The sequence below is a fragment of the Homo sapiens genome, chromosome 1, assembly GCF_000001405.40.
Source record: "Homo sapiens chromosome 1, GRCh38.p14 Primary Assembly".
In the NCBI taxonomy this organism is placed as follows: domain Eukaryota; kingdom Metazoa; phylum Chordata; class Mammalia; order Primates; family Hominidae; genus Homo; species Homo sapiens.
The window spans coordinates 93,614,934-93,641,331 of NC_000001.11; the positions used below are offsets into that span (position 1 = coordinate 93,614,934).

Genomic DNA, 26,398 nt, shown 5'->3' on the forward strand with positions numbered 1-26,398 from the left:
CACATAACACCTTTAGGGAAAACTAACTGCTTTTCCCTTCATTCCAGTTATAGCGGATGCTCAACGAGTTCTTTTTTTTTTTTTTTTTTTTTAATCAAATCCAGATTTCTGCCTGTAGCTCTTCCTCTCCTATCCTACCGCTCCAAATATTAACTTTTTGTGGCTTCGGCCTCAAATATGGAATGTGTCCTGAAGCTTTCTAAAACTTCACACAGGCAGAAACTTGTAATGAGGAAGAAACAAGATCTATTCAGTCCAGAAAGGAACAATACCAGATGAGGCATGAGGGAGGTATGAGAAATATCCAACGGGATTAGCGTCAAATCCTCGGGAGACCTTGGCCTTTGGACTAGGTCAAGTCTGCCCACAAAAATAGGAAATTGCTCTGGGCCCAGTGAGCAGGTATGGAGAGCCACAGTCTCACACCCACGCAAGGGCAAGGGCCCGGCCTCATCAACGTGTCAACATGGGGATGGAGCTGCTAAGTGAGGCGCTATTGCCACAGCGAGTGTGGGCGATGACTTCCTTTCTGCTTTCCTCCCTCACTCATTCTCCTCTCTGACTCTGGAGGTCTGGTCTGCAGTCTTGACGGCTCCCAGGCCACAGAAAGTCCACCAGAGAACCTAGAAGGAAGCACCAAGGTGGCAGAACTCAGAAGGGTTTTCTGAGCTGGAAGAGCCCTTGAAGACTGTCTGGTCAGTGGGTCCCCACTGTCCTCGAAGGTCCAGTACCGCACCTGTGAGGAAGCGTTTTCTGGCTTGCCCTCATTTCCGTTAGATGGAGTTCAAAGGGTAAGTCCGTGTGAGCAGCCAGGCCCAGGCCCCAGCAGTTCTGTGAGCATGACTCATCAATCAGGCCATTAGCCACCACAGAATGGGCCATTTTCACCTGGTATTCTCCTTGGAGAGCAAATAACGATTCCTTCAAGCTAAAAACCTCCCCAAGAGGCTAGACAGGCACCATCCCAGGCCTGAGAAAAGGGAGGGGGGCAGTGACTGAAATCCTGCACAGAAATTCGTGAGATTAGTCAGCCAAGAGACTCCGAAGCCCAGACACCCTTCCCCCAGAAATCGTGAATGAAATGCATTCCTGAAAGTAATATGCAAATAACTCAGACATGTAAATCACATAGAATTACGAATAAAGTGCTCCACAGCCAGGGTAAAAACAAAACCAAAGACACTTAGGTCACTGTGGTATCACAGCTCTTGTTACCTGAGGTTTTCTCTGTTTATTCTAAGAATATCTCCAAAATACCCAAAGAATTTGTTCCACCGGGATTAAATAATGACTAATCTTATTAGGTAACTGTTTCCTAAGCATCTTTTATTTTTATTTCACACCAAAAATAATTTCTGAAGCAGCACTCAAAGGTTTTAATCAATTTTCTCCTGAAACGGTCAAGGAGAGAGACTAAAATAACGTGTTGTTTTTGTAACTAAAGATGATAATTGCATACATTCTCAAAGTGCCCTTCACTGACTTGTTAAGCTTTTAAACGCTGCCTATTTACGCTGATCAATTCCTCCCATTCTCCCCACAATGATTATTCTAGTTACAAAGAAATAGAGGACCAGACCTGTGTACCACTCAGCAGAGAACAAAGGGCTAGGGACTCCAACCTCAGACTGCAGAATCTGGTATCTGATCACATAGAAACACAAATAGATTTTTTAATGTCTTATAATTAAACCTGTTACTCACACAGCCCCGTGAAAGGGCTGTGACCTGGGGCAGTGGGCCACTTTCTGATGATCTGGTGTGTGGGATTTGGGACTCATCAAATTTGGATACAGGGCTTTCTAAACACCATGCCCCTTTCGGGATAGGGGAGGGCATTTCTAAGGAACTCCCAGGGACTGAGGAAGGGAGGGGCCCAGTCAGGCAGCTCTGAGCTCTGGAAAAGGTCCTACAGGGTGAACTCCCATCCACCGCCCTTCTCTGGCTGCCTGGAAGGCTCACTCCTTTGCACCGAGGGAAACACTTGTGATTAAAGCCATGGCTGGGAAGCCAGGTGGGTCCTTGAAGGAAACCTCTATTACCTCAGGCCAAATGTTGCCCACCCTCTAATTCAAAAAGGGGGTTAAGGCAGGCCGGAGGAAGACCCCTGCATAAGCACTGCCCTCAATGCCAGTTTTTCCTTGGGCAGCCCTAATACTAACCTGCCCTATTTAGTAACCATGGAAACAGGAGCTGCCTGCCAGCCATATTCAGCAGACACATGCTTCCTGTTGGCAGCAGCCCCTCAGCTGAGAAGGGCCAAGAGAGTGAGTGCAGAGTCCTTTTCCCAAAGCACCACGGTCCCTGCTAGAAGATCAGGCTCCCAGTGAGGTAGGCCCTCTCTCCAACAGGGCATGGAGGGAGATGGCAGGAGAAAGATATGCCTGCTAGGTACCTGCTTTTCACTGTTTCAGCACATCTGGAACGTAATACTGCCCATAGCCCCAAACCCTCCCCAAAGCAGCCCAGAATCAGGGCATCAAGCCTTACACTGAGGCACTCTTGGGCTTTGTCAAGCGGCCCCATGGACAGTGACTCTGCCCATGGCTAGAGGACAGTGACTCACCCCAGGCTTCAAGGCCTGGCTTGTTCCTGCCCAAAGGGACATCGGTCAGGGGTGAACACCAGTAATCGTGATCAGAACAGCTCAAAACATCTTGTGGCAACTACTAAGACCCTTTATCCTACTCCCTCTCCCCTAAAGATCAATGCTTTCTGGCTTTTTGCTTCCCCTAAACCCAGGTGATCTGGCTCTTGCTGAACAAAGACAGCTTTAATGAGCCAGGGCATGAGGCTGATGCAACCAGCTCCATCTTTCCTGGTGCCCTGGGAAGTAGGCAATGATTAGCCTGGACCTTGCCCCACTCAGCACCAGCCTGGCGTCACGGTGAGGACAGCCTCTGCAGACTCGGCTCTGTGGAGAGCAGTGTGGCAGGTGCCTGGGAAGCCCTAGGCAGATAAAGGGGCAAGTTGATCCGCAGCCTTGCTTCTCAAGACTTCCCCAGCACCCACCCTATCTCTGCCTGATTCTGAACAAATAAGCCAGCAGCTCACACACCTTCCCACAAAGAGCCAGAGGGCCTGAGGGAGGAGAGCTGGGAAACCAGGGAGGACAGGAGGAAAGGACTTTGTGCAAAAGGTCAGCTCCTCTTCCAGCCAGGCTCAGTAGCTACAGAAGCTGCCAAAGACAGTTCTACACATTTCCCTATATGCAAATCTGATTGATTTCTTGCTCCGAAAGGGAATGCAAACAAGACTTAGTGGGAGGAGGGCAGGCAACAATGCCTGCGCCCTCTGGCCCCCTTTGTGTATTGCTGTGGACAAGACGTTCGCCTGCCCTGGTGAACACAGACAGTACATTTAGGAGTGCGTGCTGTACATATCCTGGTCTAACAGTTTCCCCAGATTCCTCAAGGGGATGAAAGAGTATGGCTGTTAAATGGTCTCTATCCGGAAGCAATATTGATCTGCCTAGCACATAAACAAAGAGACTAAAGTACAGTCTTCACAGCAGATTTCTCTCTGCTGGGCCTTCTGTCTTCCCTTACCAATTTCTGTTTCTCTAACTAGCTATTAAAATTGTATAACTGAGTAATGCGAAGCAAAATTAGGCACTGTGCCCTGTTTTGCTTTCTTACGCTATCACACACAATTCTGCCCCATTCACCTCTCTACCACTACCACCTAGTTCCTGGTGTCACCCCAGAAATCTTATATTACACAAGCTCAATTTTCTGTTTTTAGCGTTCAGGCAAAAAGAAAGAAAAGAAAAAGAAAGAATACATACAGGACATAATCCCAAGCTCTCAAATGGCAGACTCACTATCTGATGATCTTGGCCTTCTCTGAGATTCTATGAAAGTCATGGGCCCTCCTTCTAGAGCAAAAGACACATACTTGCAATGCTTTACAATTAGAACTTGTCCAATCCGCTTTACTATGTTGTTCCGTTTTGCTCTGTTTTAGGCATTTACCAGCCTGAAGCCGTGGGTTTTTTTTTTTTTTGTTTTTTTTTTTTTAATCTGAGACGGAATCTCGCTCTGTCGCCAGGCTGGAGTGCAGTGGCGCGATCTTGGCTCACTGCAACCTCTGCCTCCCAGGTTCGAGCAATTCTCCTGCCTCAGCCTCCCGAGTAGCTGGGACTACAGGCACATGCCACCACGCCAATTTTTTTTTTTTTTTTTTTTGTATTTTAGTAGACACTTGGTTTCACCATGTTGGCCAGGATGGGCTCGATCTCCTGACCTCGTGATCCGCCCACCTCGGCCTCCCAAAGTGCTGGGATTACAGGCGTGAGCCACTGTGCCCAGCCAAAGCCATGGTTTTTAGTTTCTGTCTCTAGTGATAAGTGGAAAAGAGGGATGAGGAAGGGGCTTTACTGGCCCAACCAGAAACAGAAACTAAGAACCCATTCTCCCTCTTGGACACCTCTGCTTCAGGGGATTCTTGTATCCACTAGAAGCCCATCCATATACCCCTTGGAGTCTTATCCATCCAAGATGATTCACCACCTACTTCCCAAGATTCCTTTTCTTCTACACTTACTATGCAAGCAATTACACCTGGAGCAATCACTTACTTCTCCTGCCATCTCAGCTCCTGGGTTTTCTTTGCTGTACACTTTTCTCTTTCCCTTTCCATCCACTTTTGGTAGGCATGAGCTATGTAAGCAACTAATAGGCAACGACCACAAAGCCCTTCAGAGGTCCCTCCCATGCAGAGTGCTGCAGAAATGGGCAGACGGGCATCTGCGAGGCCCTCTGGAGGCCTTACCAGCCAGGAACAGCTGCCTCTCTCCCACCTCCACTGCGCCAGTTCTCTGTCTCACAAGCACCTCTGCAAAATGGCATCTTCCAAAACTGAGCTGTGAGACAGACACCTGCTTGTCTTCAAAATGGCTCTGTAACACACCCTGGAGGTAGGAGGCTAGAGAGCGAGCCAGGATGGGTTCTGGTCTTCACCACTAGCTAGCTGGGTGACTTTGGGGAATTAATTAACTTCTCTGAGCCTTAGTTTCCTCCCCAGACTTACCAAGTTATTGTAAGCATCAAGTGAGATATCACATGGAGGGCCTGGCACCCAACACATAGTAGGCACTCTACAAACATGAGCTTCCTTCCCCCTTCGAAAGAAGGGACAACAAACCCCATCTTCCCCACTGTACTCGCAGGGCACACGCCCACCCACACGCTGGGCTACAGGAACCACGCCTGTAGCCACGAGAAGAGAGTGGACACCCACCCATGCCATGAGCCACTGACCACTGGCTGGCTCCCAGCTGGTATACTTAGGAGCTGGTATAATAAGGAGACTTCTAAAAGCTTTTAGCCTTAAAATATATGTTACTCATTAAATTCTAAAACTGCTTATTCAAATACCACATATGGTTTTAATCACACTTGCCCAGATGTCTCAGGATTGTCTACTCCAGAGTCTCTGTCATGTTAGGAGTTGTTTAACAGGCAGCAGGTGTATCCACAGCATCTGCTCACATGATCCTAACCCAGGGGACTCCTGGGTTCATCCACAACTACCAGCTCTCCATGTACCACCCTTGTCTGAGCCAATCTGACTGGGGATCCTGTGGGCCCCCTCTGCCTATGGGGCCTGGGTGGTACCCCTCCTTTCCCATTGCCTTGGGACCAAGCTAGTTGCAGAATTGGACTTCAGCCTCAGTCCTGATTGGATGCCCTACAGGATCCTCACTCCTCCAGCCCCACCTCCTCCTGCCCTGGCCCTGCAATTCAGCCCTGGGAACAGATCTTCCACATGTGTTTAGCATCCCCAGAGAACCACCTCTCACATGCCGACTCCTTCATATTTCCCCGCCCTGTATTACTGGGTTGTCTGATACCAACCAATTCTAGAACTACAACCGTGTCTGGTATAGCTCCTCAGATGTTGTGACCCCTCTGCCCTCTCTAGACTTTCTCTCTGTGTCCTCCCAGATACTGCCTTCTGCCTAGATCTCCTTCTCTCAAGTCCCTAATGGCAGGAATCTGCCAGAGTTACAGTGCATTCTTCTAAAGCCACACATCCCTATCTCCACCTAGAAAGGCTGCCAAGTGGCTGAGTGGATGAACCTGCCTGCAAGGGATCACCCGCCTAGGAAGGCAGGAACCCAGGGGCGGAGGGCGGGGTCAGTACCAGGTGAGAGGTGGAGTCAGGAGTAACCCCACCCATTCCAGCCTGGAGAGAAAATGGTCTTATCAATCGCTTTTCTGTTGTCAAGCAAATTCTAGCCATGCAAACAAAATATTTCAGTGGGAAAATATCTCTTTTTCATGGTCATAAGCTGATCATGGGCATTACCATCTAAGTGACGTACTGGATAATTCTGTATCCTGCCAAAGTAGCTGTGAGAATCAGTCCAGATGAGGAGTTCTGAACCTAGGGGTGGACTGGGGCTTCCATGGGCCACTAGAAACTGTATACAAATTGTTGTGTTCATTGAGGAGAGGGGTTATGACTTTTACCCAATTTCAAAGAGTCACGTGACCAAAAAATTCCTTCTGATCCAGAAAGACTTTCAGTGGCATGTAGGAAGGGAGGTGAGAATACCTTGGTGGTCACAGAAGTGAGTACGGACTGATAAAGCACCCTGGCTGGCCACCTTGCACACACCCGGGTTGTAGCAGGGATGTGGCTGGTAAGAGGAGGGGATAGATAGCCTTGAGGCAAGTAGTATTGCAGTTTCTTATGGCCGCTGGAGCAGCTTTAACCAGCACGGGAACCCCTTCACTCAGTGGGTGGATGGACCTTGTTTGCATGTAATACTTAGGACAGAAAATTGGAAGAGCTACAAGTTTGACTCTCAACAACCCCTCCTCACCACAGACTTCAGAGATGCCTTGAAGAAGCCTGCAGCCGTCACAGATATCGTTTCACCTCACTCACCCCATGTGAAAGGTCCCCAGAAGCCACATTGGTTTTGTTTTTGTTTTTGTTTTTGTTTTGAGATGGAGTCTCACTCTGTCGCCCAGGCTGGAGGGCAGTGGCGCAATCTCAGCTCACTGCAACCTCCGCCTCCCGGGTTCAAGTGATTCTCCTGCCTCAGCCTCCCGAGTAGCTGGGACTACAGGCACCCGCCACCATGCCTGGCTAATTTTTGTATTTTTAGTAGAGATGGGCTAATTTTTGTATTTTTAGTAGAGACACAGTTTCATCATATTGGCCAGGCTGGCCTTGAATTCCTGACCTTGTGACTCACCCTCCTAGGCCTCCCAAAGTGCTGGGATTACAGGCGTGAGCCACCATGCCAGGCCAGGAGCCAGCACTTCTACAGAGAACTTTTACCATGGTGTCCTATTTCATAGTCACACTAGGAGAGGAGTATTATTATCTCCATTTCACATGTGGGATCAAACAGCTCTTAAAGTTAATGATTAAAACAACAACGAATCAGAATGGCTGGCTCTATCTGGTGTGATGAGGGAAGCACGGAGAACACCTGGTCACCAGAAGTGCTTTATCTTATGCAAATCTGAAAGGCAGACCTCCCTCCAACAGAGGGACAGATACTCTTGGCAACACAGGCAGCAGATCTCATCTGCAATAGTCCATCAGAGGTCCTATTCCGCTCACAGCTGAAAGGAAAGTGCAGGGCTGGGAGAGATGGATGCTGACATCAGAATCTGAGAAGAACCAGGAGGCAACAAAGGCTTGCTGCACAAGAAGGGCTAAGGGACCGCTTTTGTCACATGGAAACACAAACAGTACCCCTTCCTCTATAGGAAGAGGCCAATTCAGAGGGTTCTGTGCATGGAAGGACCTCATTGACTGCCGGCCAGTTTCTTCACTTCCTAACGTAGTCAACTGCCAAGCATAATGCTGTCTGCAGGAGTGACATCCAGAAGGTCAATATTTGCCCTTCCTGGTGCCAAGGTGGGGACAATAAATTCCTTTGCCAGTGGCTCAAAGATTTGGGTACGCCTTGCAGTGTATATCCAAATGGGTGGAAGGGCTGGGTGGAGGAAGGGAGAATTACTAGGGAGAGCAGCAGAAACCCATCTGGGTAACTATCCAGGAACACCAGGACTCCCGGTTGGGTCACTTGTGATAAGATGTGGGAATCCATCCAAGGACAAGCTATAGATGGGCTGGGGATCCACAGCCCCTCTGGACATCCCCACCCCCTGCCCATAACTTCTCTGTAACAGTAGCAAATCTGGCAAACTTGGAGGCAATGGGTATCCAGTACATAAACCAGGAGGGAGATAAACTAGGGAAAGATGGGAATAGGACTTGAAAAGATTTTCTTTTTTTTCGCAAAACTTAGCATTCATGTCTCAACATTTTATATATGTATCCTGAATAGAGATAATAGAAATATAGCAGAATATACTTCTGATCCTAAAAATGTAAGGGGGGGAATGGTATAGATAGCAGGTGGTGGCTATTATATTTAAAAGCTTTACTGAGTAGCATGTGTATTCATCCTTTTAATGGATGTGTGAGCCAATCAGAATACTGAACACTGAATGGTCCAAGAGTAAGCAGGTGAATGACATGAGACCAAACAGAGTCCTTCCCTGAGACTTTTCAAACTAGGGCTGAGAGAGACATCCCCTTTTCCCCTTGGACCACAAGCCTTAAGAATATAAGCCTAGAGCAGCCCACAGCCAGGCCCTCACTGCATAAAGAAGCTGATGGAAGAGAATGTGGTCAAAGTGCTGAGAGAGGCAGATGCAAGAGACTAAGGTCCTAAAAATGTTTTCCTTCCCAGAAGTAGTCATCAACCCAGGCCACTCCACCCCTGCCCTTCCCAGAGGTAAGTTTCCTAGCTCACACCATCAATTTGGGTTTACAGGCTCACCTTATCAGTGTAAGATTAAAACTTGAGATGGAGATGTAACATACTGTGTCTGGCTCTGTTGGAGATTATGTGTATAAAATGTGATCTCTGTATCTGAGAAATGCTACAAGGAGCCAACATGAACTGATGTTACATGAAAACATGCATATTATACACCCATTAATAATAGGGTTGTACACTCATGTGTCAGCAATGAATGGAAATTAATGGTGTTTTGCAGTCTATTCCAGGGACTTCCATGGAAATAATTGAGTTGCCTTGAGTTTTCAAGGATAACAATACACGAATTTGCCTCTAGGAAGAGGGAGAGGGATTCATGTTGTTGGAATGTACTGTGCCACTGGTGTAGGGGTGAGTTCTGCTCCCACACCCAGCACCTCCCAGCCAGGGGAAAGCACAAACAAACTGCATTCTCAGCCCTGCTTATGTGGCATCAGCACCATCCTCAGCTCCTGGAGGATGTTTCCAAAAGGCTTTTCTGCTATGTGGAAGGCCACAGGACCCAATTTAGAGGTACTGGCTGAGACATCCCCTTATTGAGGCCAGGTGAGCTTTTCCCGGTACAGTCACCTGCGAGGGCAACCCTCATGACTTCTTTCCAGGTCAAAGGACAGGACGTTTACATCATCTCCAAATCACATTCAAATCTTCCCAAATGTGCTCCTTAGACAGTCCTTAGGTGGACATGGCCTGGAAGTTTGGGAGCCCCTGCTCTCAGTCTGTGTGGGCCCGTAGGGGTTTCCTTCTCCCCTTAAGAAGCCCTAGCTCCAACCCTGTCCTCCAGGGTTCAGCTACTGAAGCACTCATTAAAATGACTGGTGCCCTTGTCTGTTGGCCTCATGACCCATGTCTTATTGTCATCATTGGAATGCCTGAACATGATAGGGGCCCACTGAACATTTGGAGATAGCTCAGGGATTCTCAACCTGGGGTCCACAAACACCTGGAACTAAGATGTGCAGTAAGTGTGCATGCATATTTCTAGAGACGTGGCTCTTGTTCATGGTATTTGCAAGAAGGTAGGGGCCCTTCCCTGTCTCTCCAAAAATAGTTCAGAACTGCAGAGGCGTGAGGGATGACAGGCCACACAGAAGTCATGCTCCTCACCGGGTAAGCCAGCCTTGCCAGCCTCTGGCTGAATTACGGCTGCTTCCCACTTTGGCCCTAAGAGTCATTTTACGGCCAGGCGCGGTGGCTCATGCCTGTAATCCCAGCACTTTGGGAGGCCGAGGAGGGCGGATCACGAGGTCAGGAGATCAAGACCATCCTCACTAACATGGTGAAACCCCACCTCTACTAAAAATACAAAAAAATTAGCCAGGCATGGTGGCGGGGGCCTGTAGTCCCAGCTACTCGGGAGGCTGAGGCAGGAGAATGGCGTGAACCCAGGAGGCAGAGCTTGCAATGAGCCAAGATTGCACCACTGCACTCCAGCCTGGGTGACAGAGCAAGACTCCATCTCAAAAATAAAAGAGTCATTTTACTCTCTCAAACTTTGAACTAGCTGGGATTCCAAACTGGGAGAGGCTTCCAGAATGCAGTAATTCCCAACTCACACTACCTGTACTCTGTTCAAGTAATCCTGAAACCAGGAGGTAAGGGGACTTGACTCTATTCTGTCAAGGCTTTCATGTAGAGACCATGAGGAGACAGACAGGAGGGCACTGAACCAGGATGGATTCAGCTGGACCACACAGACCCCTTCAAAATACACCCACCTGGGCCTGGTAAAAATAAGAATCCGGCTGAAGACTGGTGGTCACAGGAAACAGTCCATCAGTTTCCTTATTTCTTCTGTACAAAAAGCTCTTTTGAGAATGTGAATGGGGGCTTTATATAGTAAGTTCTCATCCACAGGCTAATAAATATGTGAAATGGCTTCTCAGACCAGGTTCCTGCAGCCTGGACACTGAGGTCATTCAAGAAACAATTAGATGCCATCTGGAGAGGGCTGGGACTCGAAAGGAAATTGCCTTGAAGGGCCAAACAGCATGTTCTCATTCCCAGGGTCTGACACATCCTTATCTTCATTCACATAAAGGATGGATGGAGCTCAGCCAGCAAATCCACACTGGGAGCATAGAAGGAGCCAAGGCTGCAGCAATTAATAAAAGCTTAAGGATCAGGAGAATGCGCACTTCCAGCCTGTCCCAAGTAAATGGATCCCTGCAACAAATTTCTCCCTCGACTACACTTGCATACTCAGGCAGAGCACCTTGCCATAACCCAGCCTTGGCCTCACCAAGCTTGGGGTTTTCAGAGTTTTAATATAAAGCAATGAGAGGAGAGTTACAATTGCTTCTGGCCTAGCACTTTATAGTATATGATGAGCAACCAGATCTTTACAGTATATCATGACTTGGTTATGTTACATAGAGTTAGCATTTCCAGAGGTGTCACAATCCACTCCACTGCAAGGAACAGGCCCACAATTGAGAACCCTTACTTCAAGGATTGACTCTCAATTTTTTCCTTACTTTTAAATGAAAATTTAATGTCTTTCCTACATTAAAAACAAGTCTCTTTAAATGTAAATGCAACTGTTGGGCAAGCTGAGCTTAAAAGTAAACTTTGCTAGAGAAATAAATATGGATTTAGATAAACAAGAGGGGATTATTTGTGTTTTAAGTGTTTTTGCAGCTTTTAGTCTCTTAAGTAGCAAAAGACCCTCTGGTACAGTGGTGCTCAAAGTGTGTTCCACAGGCTGATCTGCAGGCTGGGGGGTCTTCTGGGGGTCTGAGAGGTCAAAACTTATTTTCATAATAATACAGAGACATTTTTTGCCTGTTTCACTGGGTTGACATTTATACTGGTGGTGCAAAAGCTATGATGGGTTAATTCCTGGTGCCTCAGCACAAAGCAAGGCAGAGGCACCAAACTCTACCAGGGGCCATTGCACTCTTGACTCCCATTGGCTCAAAGAATTGAAGAAAAATAGCCAGTTCCACCTAGAAGTCTTTGATGAAGCAGTGAGAATTACTCACTTTATTAAATATGGGCCCTCGAGTACATGTCTCTTTAGTATTCTATACAATGCAACAGGACATGCACAGAAAACAATTCTGCTGTGTTTCCAAGCACAGAGTTTGTGTGAAGGAAAAGCAACTGTGCAATTGAATTGTGGGCTCAACTAGCTGCTTTTTCATAGAGCACAATTTTTACTTCAAAGAATGTCTGACAAACTTGGTTATTCAGACTCGGGTATTTATTTGGCAGCCATTTTCTGAAAAACGAACAAAGTGAGCCTGTTACTTCAAGGAAAACAACAGACAGTGTTTGTTGCCAATGATAAAATTCCAGGTTTCAAGTGAAAATTAGAATTTTGGAAAACTTGTATTCACCACATGAGTTTGACAGCTTTCCAATACTTTAATGATTTTTCTGATGAGATCGGTGGTCATATTAATGAATGTGAGTTCTGATATTACATAGTGAAATATGTAACATTTATAAGATCTGCATAACTCGTAAACCAATATTTTTCAAATGGCCAATGCATGATGATATAAACTCATGCATGGGTAAAAGATCCATTCAAATTGCAAGAGAGATCCATTCAAATTGAATTTTAAGGAAATAAAACAAGTTCATTGACAGGATTTCAGAGTCCACATTGCAGTTAACTTTTAAGGAACTACAACTTGTTGAACTCTAGTATCAAAGACCAACAACTATAATGATCTGAAGAGGCTATTAAAATACTCCTCCCTTTCTGAACTGCATACCTGTGCAGGGCCACATTATTTGAGACTTCAACCAAAGTAACACAAAACAACAGAGTGAACACCGAAGCAAATATAAGAATCAAGTTGTGTTCTATCAGACACTAAAGAGATGTGCAAATATGTAAAACAATGTCATTCTTACCACAAATGTACATTCACTGGTATATAATGGGTTTATTCTTATTTTTAAATGAATTACATGAAATGCTCATCAAGTAAAAATAAGTTAAATAAACATTTTAAAATATTCCATTTTAATTTCTAACATGATGAGTATCAATAGCTAGAAGTCACATAACAAAAACTTTTTAGGGTCCTCAATAATTTAAAAAGTCTTGAGACAAATGAATTTAAGAACTTCTGCTCTAATATTTAAGTTACTTGCTTTACATAATTTTGATTGAGCCATAAGTTTTCAGTATCTTACCTATGGAGTAGACTAAGGGATATAATTACAGGGGTGTTTTTATTTTTATAAGTAACTATCATAAAAACACTATTAGAAAAAAATTAGAAACTGAGAAAAATGTAAGAAACGACAAATAAAAAAAACTTTCGGTTGCCAAGAAGTTTTATTTTGACCCATTATGTGACACTGAATCATTCTACTCCTAGATTTTTATCTTCTGAAAATTCTTACACTAACGCACACCAAGCCACCTCCACTGACAACAGCACCATCCTACCAGTGTCAAGCATGGCTCCTCTCTTCTCCCACCTCATGTCCAATCCATCAGGAAGTGCTGATGGCTCTGCCTTCACGTTACATTCCTAGAACCCCCTTATTTACCACCTCCCCTGCTCTCACAGGTCCAAACTACCATCATCTCTCATCTGGACAATCACAGTAGCCTCCTCACTGGTCTCCCTGCTTCTGCCCCTGTCCCCTGCAGTCTAGCAGCAACACAGAAGCCAAAGTGAACCTGAGATGCCTCCCATCTCATTCCAGAAAAAATTGAAGTCTTTACTCTGACACACAATCCCTCGCACATCACCTTCTGCCACTCTAACACCAGCTGCTTTCACCAGCTCCAGCCTCTGGCCTCCTCGTTCCTCCATGGAAGAGGCGGACCCTGGCTTCAAAGCCTTGCCCTTCTTCTTCCCCTTAGACATTACAGTTGACTTGTATTTCCACTCAAAAGTCACCTTCTTGGTGAGGCCCTTCCCTGGTCACCCTATCTAAAATTTAATGTCCCCTTACTCCAACTTTCATAGCTGCTTTCCCTGATGCATCTTTTCTGCTAAGCACTCATCGTCAGCTAACAGGATTGACTTGACTGTCTTTCTTATTGTCTTTCCAGTCCTCCACCCCCAGAGTAAAAGCTCCACAGGGGCAGGGATATTGTTTTGTTCACTGCTGTATCCTCAGCCCCTGGAACAGTGACCAGCACAGGGAAGAGACTCAACAAATACTTACTAAATGACTATGTACTAACCACAAAATTGTTTCTAACAGAACATTAGCAAAACCCAAATGTCAGTAGGCAACTAGTTAACTATAACTGTATTTCATACAATGGAATACTGGGTACCCATTCGAAAGAAGGAGGGAGGCCCATACGTTTAATATGGAATGATGTCCAATGAAAAAAGCAAGTTGCAAAGTTATATGTAGTTAGACAGTTTGGCAATAAATAAAATTCCTCCCAAACTCATTTCTTAACGTGATCTTCTTCTCGGAATCTCTTTTCCCATTCAAGCAACATGGAGCACCTACTGCTTCTCCCAAGGCTCCTCCCACTGTTCTCTCCTGCTCCAGTCAGCCTGGGCACACGCTGTCTCCCAGGCATGGAGTCTTCTGCCTTACCCAATACCAGCATCCTTCCTGCCAAGCCGAGATGTTTTTTCAGATACCAAATCACAATTCAAATACAAGTTGTTCCCAGGAAACTTCTTGGTTACCGGAGGTAACACTTTGGGCCAAATGCAAACCTCCTATCTCAAAATCTACATACAGTATCATAGCATTTTAGAGCTCTTCATTCAAGAACATTGACAATTAATTCTAATAATAAAATTCCTTGACAATTTAAATCTGCATTTTCATGTATTGTAAACACAGCTCTTCTTTCTGAAGTTGAATACAAGTCCTGACATGCTATTACATTTAATATTAAAAGCTCTTAGAATATTTAGAAACCGAATTGTAGCCAAATGCTGAACTGTTGTGACACTGATGAGCACTAGAGGGCAGAGCTTAACAGCAAATGATTCTAAAGCTAGCAATCCAGGCCTCTCGTTTTGGTGTTGAAGTTACTGACTCCCTATAGTTAACAAGATCTCCCAAAGAGTAGATAGGTCTAAGTCATAGAAGTTGCCAGAACTACACTTTTAAAAACAGTGTATATCTCTGCCCAAATATGTGAGTATTTAAGGTGACAACAGCAACCCCACAGTTTTTATCCTGTACCAGGTGGGCAAGAGAAGGTAGACTGAGGTTAGGTGCGGGAACCTCTTTGCTGTTTTGCAATAAAAACACCGAAGGATTTCTGGAAAAATTTTAGAGACATCAGCATTACCTGCTTTGCAAAATATAAAATTTTTAGAACAACCTCATTCCCCCTTCCCTAAATTTAAGTGCCCAGTGTGTGTACATTTTAAAATAACTGAAGAGTACAATTGGATTGTTTGTAACTCAAAGGATAAATGGTGATGGATGCCCCATTTACCCTGATGTGATTATTACACATTGTATGCCTGTATCAAAATATCTCATATACACCTACTCTGTACTCACAAAAATTAAAAATTAAAATAAACGCCCTTGTGCATCTGGTGTGGGTGCTCACTCACTAAACAAAAGAAGGGTCTTTGTCCTCAGGACTCACATGCTAGTGAGAAGTCTTATTTTTAAAAGTAAACAAATAAGGCCGGGTGTGGTGGCTCAAACCTGTAATCTCAGCACTTTGGGAGGCCAAGGCAGGCGAATCACTTGAGCTCACAAGTTTGAGACCAGCCTGGCCAACATGATGGTGAAACCAGGTCTCTAAAAAAAAAAAAAAATACAAAAATCAGCCAGGTGTGATGGTGCATGCCTGTAGACCCAGCTACTCATGAGGCTGAAGTGGGAGGATGGCTTGAGCCTGGGAGGCAGAAATTACAGTGAGCTGAGATTGCGCCACTGCACTCCAGCCTGGGTGACAAAGCCAGACCTTGTTTCAAAAAAAATAAAATAAATAAAATTTGGGACAAATGAGGATAATATACAGAGTAATGAGATAGTGACTTGGGGACTGCTTTTAGTACGGATGTCAGGGAAGGCTGTTCTGAGGCAGTGAAATGTGTCAAATGAACCAGCCATATAGCTGGTATTTACTGAGTGCTAAGTACATGTGGGGCACTGTGCTAAGAACTAAGAACTTCACATGTATTCACTGTTTAATCCCCGATCTTCCCATTTACTGTTAAGGAAATTGAGCTCCAGAGAACTTCAGTAACTTGCCCAAGGTCATACAACCAAGAAACGGCTAAAACCGGGCTCTGGATTTGTATTAGTTTCCAGGACTGCCAAGACCAATTACCACAAACTTGGCTACTTTAAAATAGAAATGTTTCTATTGTCTCACAGCTCTGGAGGCTAAAAATCCTATATAAAGTATCCGGAGGGCCACAATGGCTCCAAAGGTTGCAGGGAGGAGCCTGCCTTGCCTCTTCCTCACCTCTGGTGGTTGCTAGCACTCCTCGGCTTGCAGACTCATCCCCCAGTCTCTATCTGTCCTCACATGGCCTTCTCCCTCTACACCTGTGTCTGGTCCAAATCTTCTTCTTATAAGGACACCAGTCAGTGGATTAGGGCCCATCCTTGTCAAATATGACCTCATCTTAATTTGATTATATCTGCAATGACCCTATTTCCCAATAAGGTCACCATTCACAGTTACTGGGGGTTAAGACTTCAACATATCGCTTTTGGGGGACACAATTCAACCCACAGCAGTGTCCTAGCACTCACTCCAAACCTCTCAGCTATTCTGCCTCAGAACCTTCCAGGCCAATGGGAAGGCAAAGCCCCAGAGACACTAGGGAAAGCCAGGGTGGCAGAGGACAGTGACTATTGGGGTGGCAGGAGATGAGGTTAGAGGTGGACAGGCCACACCAGATTCGAAGTCCAATATGGAGCTGAGTCCCGTCAGAAGCCACAGTTTCAATTCTTGCCTGCCTGTTAGTTTTTGAGTCTCTCAGTCATCCCTACAGTTCGGGATCTCAGAAGAATCCTTCCTCGAGTTAGGGAGGATGGTGCCTCAGCTTCAAGGCTGATGCCTGCAGCACAGAATACAAATTCACACAGAATGTAAATCTGGTCTTATTCCTCTCACTGGCCAGACCATGTTCCTTTCAGCACCTCCAGAGGGCAGCTCCAGGGTTTGACCTTATCTCAAACCATCAAGTTCAGGAGGCCCAGTGAGAAGTCCCTTCTCTCTGACTTGTGGCACAAGAAAACCCATCTCAGGCTGCATGGACAAAGCAGTGTCTGGCCTGAGGAGTTATCCACGCAAGCCCCAGGCAGGAGCAGTCAGGGTTCAAGTACCCATGCTGCCCCCACACACCTGTTCATCCATCTGGGCTAAAGATGCCAGAACCGACCAGGGCAGCAGAGAGATGCTGCTCAGAGCTGACAGGTACACCTCATAAGATGCAGAGATGCGTCCAAATCCTGCACAGTGTGACAAAAGCACTATCCTTGTGATTGTGCAAGATCATAAAATTTGCCCAAGGACTCACTTTTGTTGAAAGCCTGTTATGCATTATTGGGAAGGCAAAACAGAAACAGCAAAGGTGCAAACAGCCTAGAGCAAGGGTCAGAAAACTCTGTAAAAGGTTCTGTTAGGCTTTTGAGGCCATAGTGTCACAACTACAGAGGCCCTAACTTAACAATGGTTCCACTGATTTTCAACTTTACGACGGTGCTGAAGTGATATATATTCAGTAGAAACTGTACTTCAAATTTTGAAATGTGATCTTTTCTGGCCTAGCAACATGCACTATGATACTCTTAGGTGATGCTGGGGTAAACTATAATATTCAGTAGGCTAAGCTATAATATTCTCTAGATTAGGTGTATTAAATGCATTTTCAACTTATGATATTTTCAATTGATGATGGGTTTATTGGGATGTAGCCCCATCGTAAGTGGAGTAGAATCTGTACTCAATCCCACCATTATAGGAAAAGCAGCCACAGACAATACATAAATGAATGGGCATTGCTGTGTTCCAATAAAACTATGGATGCACATAAAAACTGGAACTTTATGTAATTTTGCCACTCTTCTTTTGATTTTTAAGAAGCCATTTTAGCACTTCAGGAGGCCGAGGCAGTGGATCACCTGAGGTCAGGAGTTCAAGACCAGCCTGACCAACATGATGAAACCCCGTCTCTAATAAAAATATAAAAAATTAGCCAGGCGTGGTGGCGGGTGCCTATAATCCCAGCTACTTGGGAGGCTGAGGCAGGAGAATTGCTTGAACCTGGGAGGCAGAGGTTGCAGTGAGCCGAGATTGCATGGTTGCACTCCAGCCTGGGCAACAAGAGCGAAACTCCACATAAAAAAAAAGCCATATTAAAATATAAAATCCACTTTTAGCTTAGTGGTCATATAAAAATAGGTGGTGGGCTAGATTTGGTCTTAGGCTATAGTTTGCTGACCCCTTGGTCTAAAGATATCCACAAATGCTCGAAGATTAACGTCACTGTGGTAACAAGGTTTCCAAATGGACATCTCCTTTCCTCCCTATTTACTGGCTTCTGGCACAATGCTAGGTACTGGTGTGGTCCCAGGAACTGCCCCTAGCTTCTCTCCCTCACCTGCACCATTTACATCCTGTTAGAATCTCTCAGCTTCCCTAATAACTGGGTCTTAATTCTATCTCTAAAAGCCCTTCACCATGTGGCCTAACTTTCCATTCCCACTGCGACTATCTCAGGTTAGGCTCCTGGTAACACTTTCTTCCCACCTGGTCTGACCTGACTGAACAATTACAAACACATGGTATATACTAAAAAATATCTGTTGAATGAGCCACTGCAGTCAAAAATCTTCAAGCTCGGCACTTTTTCCATCTCATCAAGGGTCTGGCCTCCCTGGTGTGGCCCATCTCAAAATGGAAAATTTCTCCTACTGAGGTGGCAGCACTTAAGGACTGAAATACAAGGCTTTAACTTGCCTTTTTTTGTCTGTTTTGATACACTCTGGCTCTATCGCCCAGTCTGGAGTGCAGTGGCGCAATCTTTGCTCACTGCAACCTCCACCTCTCAGGTTCAAGCAATTCTCCTGCCTCCGCCTCCCGAGTAGCTGGGATTACAGGCGCATGCCACCATGCCCGGGTAATTTTTGTATTTTTTTAGTTAGTAGTCAGGGGCTTCACCATGTTGGCCAAGCTGGTCTCGAACTCCTGACCTTGTGATCCGCCTGCCTCGGCCTCCCAAAGGGCGTGAGCCACCACACCCAGCCTAGCTTGCTTTTTAAGGTCAGGCTTATTGGGTATAATTTGCATTCAGCAAAAGTCACCCTTTTCAGTACAATTCCATGAGCACTGACAGCCAACCCCAGTTGGGTAACTACCACTACAATCACGATATTTCTATTTCTATCATCCCTGGAAGCTCCTTGGTGTACTTCATCTCTTCTCCAACCTCTTTTCAACCATTTATTTGTTTTCTGTCACTATAAGTTTTGCCTTTTCCAGAATATCATACAAATGTAATTTTAGAGTACGTAGCCTTTGAGACTGTCTACTTTCACTCAACGTAATGTATTCAAGATTCACCCATGATATGGTTTGGCTGTGTCCCCACCCAAATCTCATCTTGAATTCCCATGTGTTGTGGGAGGGACCTGGTGGGAGGTAATTGAATCATGGGGGCAGGTCTTTCCCATGCTGTTCTCATGATAGTGAATAAGTCTCATGAGATCTGATGTTTAAAATGGGGAGTTTTGGCTGGGCGCAGTGGCTCATGCCTATAATCCCAGCACTTTGGGAGGTCGAGGTGGGTGGATCATTTGAGGTCAGGAGTGCGAGACCAGGCTGGCCAACGTGGCAAAACCCCACCTCTACTAAAAATACAAAAAAAATTAGCTGGGCATGGTGGCCCAGGCCTATAATCCCAGCTACTTGGGAAGCTGAGGGAGGAGAATTGCTTGAACCGAGGAAGTGGAGGTTGCAATGAGTCAAGATCATGCCACTGCACTCCAGCCAGGGCAACACAGTGAGACTCTGTCTCAAAACAACAACAACAACAACAACAACAAAAAAAAAACGGAGTTTCCCTGCACAAGCTCTCTTCTCTTGTCTGCTGCCATGTGAGATGTGCCTTTCACCTTCCACCATGATTGTGAGGCCTCCCCAGCCATATGGAACTGTAAGTTCAATAAACCTTTTTCTTTTGTAAATTGCCCAGTCTCGGGTATGTCTTTATCAGCAGCACGAAAACAGACTAACACAATGTGTGTTTCTGCGTATATCAACAGTCCACTCCTAGGCTGGAAGCAGTGGCTCACACATGTAATCCCAGCACTTTGGGAGGCCAAGGCAGGAGGAAGGCCAGAGTTCGAGACCAGCCCAAGCACACAGGGAGACCCCATCTCTACAAAAAATAAACAAGTTAGCTGGGTGTGGTAGTGAGTGCCTGGAGTCCTAGCTACTCAGTGAGGTGGGAGGATCACCCGAGACCAGAAGTTTGAGGTTACAGTGAGCTATGATTGCACCACTGAACTCCAGCCTGGGCAACAGAATGAGACCCTGTTTCTTAAAAAAATAAGTAAATAAAAGTCCATTCCTCTTTAAGGTTAAATAATATGCCATTATATGGGTGTACTACTTTTTTCCAGTTGAAGGACTTTGGGGTTGTCTCCAGTTTTTGTTTTTGTCAATTACGAATAATGTCACTATAAACATGCATATAGACTTTTATACGGACATGTGTTTTCATAAGGTTTTACTCTTTATAAATGGCCACATTTTCATAGACCTGAAGGATAAGATTCCACTGAATGAGGGAGACTGTCATCCATACCTAGGATGTGGGAACATCCTACCTCAGCATTTTTAATAACTGTAGTAACACCGAACCTCCCAAGAATATTTGCAGAGAATGTTTTTGGGGTGGAGTGGAAGAAGTTGGATGGGAGCTCCCTTTCGTCCCTCTGCATGTGGGCCCCAGAGCGGGCCAGGGCTGTTTTACATTCACTGCTGGCGGTGTTTGATCTCTGGTCCCACAGGGGATGGCGCTGGCTCTGCCAATGTGCACACTCAGGCAAAAACCTGCAGAGCCAGCCAATCGGCCCATTATTTGGTTCATATAACTTGTTAAAATCTCATGGAATGTACAGCGTGCCATTGTTTTTGTAAGTCCCTTTCATGGCTTTGTGAGCTGGCTAATTCAGAGCAGACTGGCCTGCTTTCCTGCTGGAAGAAAAGGCTTCTCTCAAAGACAGCTATTTAATTGTGACCATGGCTGCAGCCATCTTGAGCACAAAAAGGGAGCTGAAGTCACATCACCCCTTCTCCACTGAGGTCTCCGGCAGCCAGGGCACTTATTCTTGGCATTGGAATTTGCATAATTACTCCTTTTTAAATATGCTGGGTGACCTAATATATCCCCAGCCGGCTGCAGGAAATGGCCTTGCTGAGATCTGAGCCTTGGATGGCCTGTAACGTCTATAGACCTAGAAGACCCTTGGGGAAGGAGAATTTTCAGAGCATTGACCCCAGAAAGGACAGCTTCCTGAGTTTCTCTGGGGTCATCTGCACTGTGAAGGGAGAAGCTGCAGGGCTCTGTCCCCACTCAGGATAACAGCTGCAGCCTTGTCCTTTCTTCTCCTAACCTGCGCAACAAGCTCAGAGACTGTAGGTCATTCTATTACAGCTCACAGTGGGTCTAACAAGAACCCACCAAGGCTGACTACAAAAGAAAGAGGACATGCGTTCACTAGGAATCTAGCCAGGAACAAAAGGTTGCATTCCGTCCTGACACTTCCTCACTGCGGTAGCCTGGAGAGCAGGCCTTTGTCCACAGGCGGGCAAGCGTGCTGTTTACAGCCTGGCCACAAAAAAACACTTGCCTATTCATGGCTAATTTGAAAAAAAAAAACAAAAAAAACAGGCATTCCAATATTTTTTTCTACTTCACCATATTTTCTAATGTAACTTTTTTGAGGACAATTTATTTTAAAATGGAAAATGTATAATAAACACTTCTTCTAAAAGAAAAATCACCCAGCCCTGCCCTAGCCAATCACTTCCTCCCTTAAAAAACTACAGCTTAAACCACCCCTAGAAAAGAACTCTTTACTAAAATAACTGTAGGGCTGGTGTGTGAAGAGGCCAAAAAGAATTAGTCTTGGCCCAGCATGGTGGCTCATATCTGTGATCCCAGCACTTCGGGAGGCTGAGGCAGGAGTATCACTTGAGGCCAAGAGTTCGAGGCAAGCCTGGGCAACATAGTGAGACCCTGTTTCTACAAAAAATAAAAAAAAATTAGGCATGGTGGTGGTCATCTGTGGTCCCAGTTACCTGAGGGGGCTGAGGTGGGAGGATTGCTTGAGCCGAGGAGTTCAAAGCTTCAGTGAGCTATGATCCTGCTACTGCACTCCAGCCTGGGCAACAGAGTAAGCCCCTGTCTCAAAAAACAAAACAAACAAAGCAGCACTAGTCTTGAGGCTAAAAGGAATATAGGTATAAAGGGGAAGGAGAAAATGTAAAATTTTTTTTTTTTTGAGACGAGTCTTGCTCTGTTGCCCAGGCTGGAGTGCAATGGCCCAATCTCGGCTCACTGCAACCTCCGCCCCCCAGGTTCAAGCGATTCTCCTGCTCCAGCCTCCTGAGGTGCCTGCCACCATGCCCAGCTAATTTTTGTATTTTTAGTAGAGTCGGGGCTTCACCATGTTGGTCAGGCTGGTCTCGAACTCCTGACCTCAGGCGATCCACCCACCTCGGGCTCCCAAAGTGCTGGGATTACAGACATGAGCCATCGCACCCAGAGGAGATAATATACATTTATATTTAGTGCTGGTTGTGGGGGCAACTTCTGAAGCTTAAAGATGCAGTTCCAGGGGAAAATAAAAGGAAGAGAGTGATAAAGAGTGGAAGTGAGCCTAGGCTTCATAGGTTGAAAGGGGGTTACAGAAGTGAACCATAATGGATCACAGAGCAATGCAGGAGTGCTGGGGTAACTTCCACTCTTCTGGGAACATGGTGGTGGCAGTTATGATCCATCATGACCTTGGTCTTCATATCCAAGATACAACATGAAATGGTATCCTGTTCCAATCAATACGGCAATCTTAGGATCAACAGGGATATCGCACAATTAAGAACTCCTTACCACTGGCTACAAGATTTTCCTCTCCAGCCTATTCTAGGCATGGAGAATCCTATAAACGTAAGCTAGAAGGAACAATAGCCCACTCCAAGGTTTCTATCGTGGGGACAATGGAACCCACAGAGAGCAGGTGGCAAATCCAGGGTCACATTGCTAATTAGAACAAAAGTGTGGGCTGGGGCGCGGTGGCTCACGCCTGTAATCCCAGCACTTTGGGAGGCCGAGGTGAGTGGATCACAAGGTCAGGAGATCGAGACCATCCTGGCTAATACGGTGAAACCCCATCTCTACTAAAAATACAAAAAATTAGCCAGCTGTGGTGGCAGACGCCTGTAGTTCCAGCTACTCGGGAGGCTGAGGCAGGATAATCGCTTGAACCTGAGAGGCGGAGGTTGCAGTGAGCCAAGATTGCGCCACTGTACTCCAGCCTGGGCAACAGAGCAAGACTCTGTCTCAAAACAAAAAGAACCAGAGTGTGGACCCAGCTCCCTCCCTGGGGTGGGGGGTCTCAGGGGATGTGAATCTCTGTTGGACAGCTATCTGGGAAGGGGAACACATGGAGCTGTTATCATTTATTAACATTTTAGCACTACTATTTTATCAAATTTTCTAAGCAACTACTTGATAGTGATCTAAGAAACTGGACACAGTGTAATTGTGTTTTAACGAAGTAAAAATCTGGGCAAGTGCAATGGGGCAGTGAGTAGGTTGAGCAGTATAGAGATAAAATTCTACTTCATAATTTTGCCTAGGGTTATTGGCTCTAAAAGATATTTCCTCCTATTAAAAAAAAATGTTTGGTTTTATCTAGGGTAAGGTATGCTAGGTACGCAGAGGAAAATTCCAGAGCTGTACGCCAGGAACCGAAGTCACTAGCTACATGGTAAACAGCAGGAGGAAGGTGGAGCCACTCTGGAGGGTTCAGCTTTCCAACCTGGAAGAAATCTTTCCTTTCAATGCAGGGAAACAGAATCAATTACGTTTGACCACAGAAAAGGACCTCATGATTAGACAAAAGTTAAAACCAAACTATCAAGATGATCATGTTCTGAGCTACTGTGGGGGGAAAAAATTGTGAGGAGAGAAGGTTAGGAAAAATGTGAAAAAAAACAAAATTCTCTCCTGTAAGTGCCAGAATTAAAGAGACGGAAACAGTGAGGAATGAGATTCCCCAAATCCCTGGACTACTTTGGATCTGCAATTTATTTTCCTCTCACATCCAAATATCAAATTGAGCCTTTGGGGTCTTGGTGCTGTCAGGAGTCCCAGCAGGAGGCCAGCCTGCTGGACAAGGTAAAAGAGCTGCCCAACAGCCCTGGGGCTTCCCAGCCATGCATATTTTCCTCCATTCCACTTGGGATGAACGACCGGTAGCTAAGCAACCGAGAAACCGGTCCCCTTTCACCTGGCATGAATGTACTGCAACACAAACGGTGCACGGTGCTAGGAGGACACACATACAAACTGCCAGAGCTGAATGTTGGATTCTTCCTCCACCCAGCTCTCTCCTGCCATGACACTGCAGTCCCCTCGCCCCACGAGCTATGAGGGTCAGCCTCAGAACCTTGTCTCTCCCAGACCCAAGGAGGCAGGAGGCAGTCCCAGACCTCTCTCTTCTATCTGGGCACTGAAAAAACCAAGGGAAGATGGTTGGAAAGTCTCCGATGGGGAGGGGAGCAGCATTTTTTTTTTTTTTTTTTGAGATGGAGTCTCACTCTTGTCACCCAGGCTGCAGTGCAATCGTGCGACTTCAGCTCACTGCAACCTCCGCCTCCCAGGTTCAAGCAATTCTCCTGCCTCAGCCTCCCGAGTAGCTAGGATTACAGATGCCCGCCACCACACCCGGCTAATTTTTGTATTTTTAGTAGAGACAGGGTTTCACCATGTTGGCCAGGCTGGTCTCGAACTCCTGACCTCGGGTGATCTGCCCACCTCGGCCTCCCAAAGTGCTGGGATTACAGGTGTGAGCCACCGCACCCAGCAGGGGAGCAGCATTTAAAGACACAGGGAGGGAGGGAGACCTGGGGCTGGAGCTCCTGCCAGTATTTGGACTGCTGTCTGTTGGCCACAACTGGGTGCTTCCCCTGCCTGGATGAGACTCAGGATAGGATAAGACTCCCCCTATTCTGGAGTCAAAATGGATCCTAAAATTTGGCTTCTTGATGCTTGTTTTTTTCGGCCAATGAATCTGAACCTACTGGAAGGGGCCTTTATGACACAACATAATTCACATAGAACTACTTTTCTCCAAGCTCAAGAGGCATTAAGTGCACAAGCGGATTGTAGATAAGAAGTTAAGGGGGTCAAACTGCACCTCAGTTTAGCTGCAACTCTCTCACCTCCCTTGATTTATCTCCAGCCATGAGGCACCAGCTGGCATCAACTTATGAGGCCTTCCTGGCACTGGTCAGCCCGGCTCCACAGGGCAACTAAGTGTGAGAAGTGCTACAACAGACCCAACCCAAGAAGATGGGTCCCTGGGTCCCCTTGGACCTTTACGTCAGAGACCTCTATGAATGTGCTTTCAGAGCCTTAGTGTCCATAGAGGCAAATGAAAATACATACCCTACATTGGCTCAACACATTCCCAAACCATCCCTCTAAACCAAGGGTGAAGTGAGAAAGAAAAAAAAAAGTGGTGCATTCAGGAAGGATACAGACACATGATTTATAAGGCTCTGACTAGATTCAGATCAAGTTAGGAGGAAAGGGTACCCTTCGGAATACCTCAACAAGTTCTTGAAAAGGAGAACCCTCTGAACCTCAAAGAGCAGTTCCATCACATCTCACTGTCAGGAGAAGGCAAAGAGAGCCCAGATAAACAGAAGCCACTGACAACTCCAATATCTCTTCTTTGTCAATACCACTCAACTCACAATGATTGATATTCATAAATGAGATGCAATAGCTTGCATAATACCTAAACAGGCCATTCCAAAATCCTCTATATTTAGCTTGAGAATGCACTACCAAATTATCTTAAAAGGGTTTAGACTTTTGTAAAAGAAAAAACTGGTATTGGAGTAAGAAGAAGGCAGTACACTTGCTGAGCACAGCCAGACTGGCCCGTGGTAGGAGATAGCCAATTTCTGAAACAAGGCATGGAGTGATTTTTAAAGAGCTGTTGTTACACACTGCAGAATTCTAGAGTGCATTTTTTGTTAAGTCATATCACAGTCTATGCAAATAGCATCCTCTAATACTTTGCAATGCACAACCTGCACAAAACATGTGATGCATCCGGGAGGGACACAGATACATATTTATAAAGCTCTGGCCAGATTCTGGTGTGGTAGCCCTGCAGGTTTAGGATTATACATTTTCTCCCATGAAAACACAGCTCAGTTGTCATTCAGGTATAAGAGATGGGAAAAAAGAATATCCACCTCCATTCCAACAAACCTCACTACGACCGCCCCAAGTGGCCAAGTGGTTCTACTGGAGCTTCCTCCTCTTCCGTCCATCCTCTGGTCTTTTAAAGAGGGAGGAAATGGCAGAACTCTGGGGGAAGGCATGGGTACACACAAAAGCGACATGC

The 26,398-nt window shown here is 45.9% G+C and overlaps 1 protein-coding gene across 29 annotated transcripts in view, besides 6 other annotated features; it reads right to left on the reverse strand.

The window, feature by feature from the left end:
* Positions 1–26,398, reverse strand: part of BCAR3 (BCAR3 adaptor protein, NSP family member) — a 286,411-nt gene that overhangs the window by 53,193 nt on the left and 206,820 nt on the right. The gene's annotated exons all lie outside the window — the stretch shown is intronic.
* Positions 521–1,173: an enhancer, noted in NCBI's record as "NANOG-H3K27ac-H3K4me1 hESC enhancer chr1:94081011-94081663 (GRCh37/hg19 assembly coordinates)". NCBI's record gives its function as "activates a minimal SCP1, AML or CMV promoter by ChIP-STARR-seq in naive H9 embryonic stem cells {active_cell/tissue: H9 hESC(naive)}" and the evidence as "EXISTENCE:reporter gene assay evidence [ECO:0000049][PMID:30033119]".
* Positions 2,481–3,133: an enhancer, noted in NCBI's record as "NANOG-H3K27ac-H3K4me1 hESC enhancer chr1:94082971-94083623 (GRCh37/hg19 assembly coordinates)". NCBI's record gives its function as "activates a minimal SCP1, AML or CMV promoter by ChIP-STARR-seq in naive H9 embryonic stem cells {active_cell/tissue: H9 hESC(naive)}" and the evidence as "EXISTENCE:reporter gene assay evidence [ECO:0000049][PMID:30033119]".
* Positions 21,359–21,917: an enhancer, noted in NCBI's record as "OCT4-NANOG-H3K27ac-H3K4me1 hESC enhancer chr1:94101848-94102406 (GRCh37/hg19 assembly coordinates)". NCBI's record gives its function as "activates a minimal SCP1, AML or CMV promoter by ChIP-STARR-seq in primed H9 embryonic stem cells {active_cell/tissue: H9 hESC(primed)}" and the evidence as "EXISTENCE:reporter gene assay evidence [ECO:0000049][PMID:30033119]".
* Positions 21,918–22,476: an enhancer, noted in NCBI's record as "H3K27ac hESC enhancer chr1:94102407-94102965 (GRCh37/hg19 assembly coordinates)". NCBI's record gives its function as "activates a minimal SCP1, AML or CMV promoter by ChIP-STARR-seq in primed H9 embryonic stem cells {active_cell/tissue: H9 hESC(primed)}" and the evidence as "EXISTENCE:reporter gene assay evidence [ECO:0000049][PMID:30033119]".
* Positions 24,060–24,354: a silencer, noted in NCBI's record as "tiled region #755; HepG2 Repressive non-DNase unmatched - State 16:ElonW". NCBI's record gives its function as "represses a minimal TATA promoter and a strong SV40 promoter by Sharpr-MPRA in HepG2 cells {active_cell/tissue: HepG2}" and the evidence as "EXISTENCE:reporter gene assay evidence [ECO:0000049][PMID:27701403]".
* Positions 24,483–25,118: an enhancer, noted in NCBI's record as "H3K27ac-H3K4me1 hESC enhancer chr1:94104972-94105607 (GRCh37/hg19 assembly coordinates)". NCBI's record gives its function as "activates a minimal SCP1, AML or CMV promoter by ChIP-STARR-seq in primed H9 embryonic stem cells {active_cell/tissue: H9 hESC(primed)}" and the evidence as "EXISTENCE:reporter gene assay evidence [ECO:0000049][PMID:30033119]".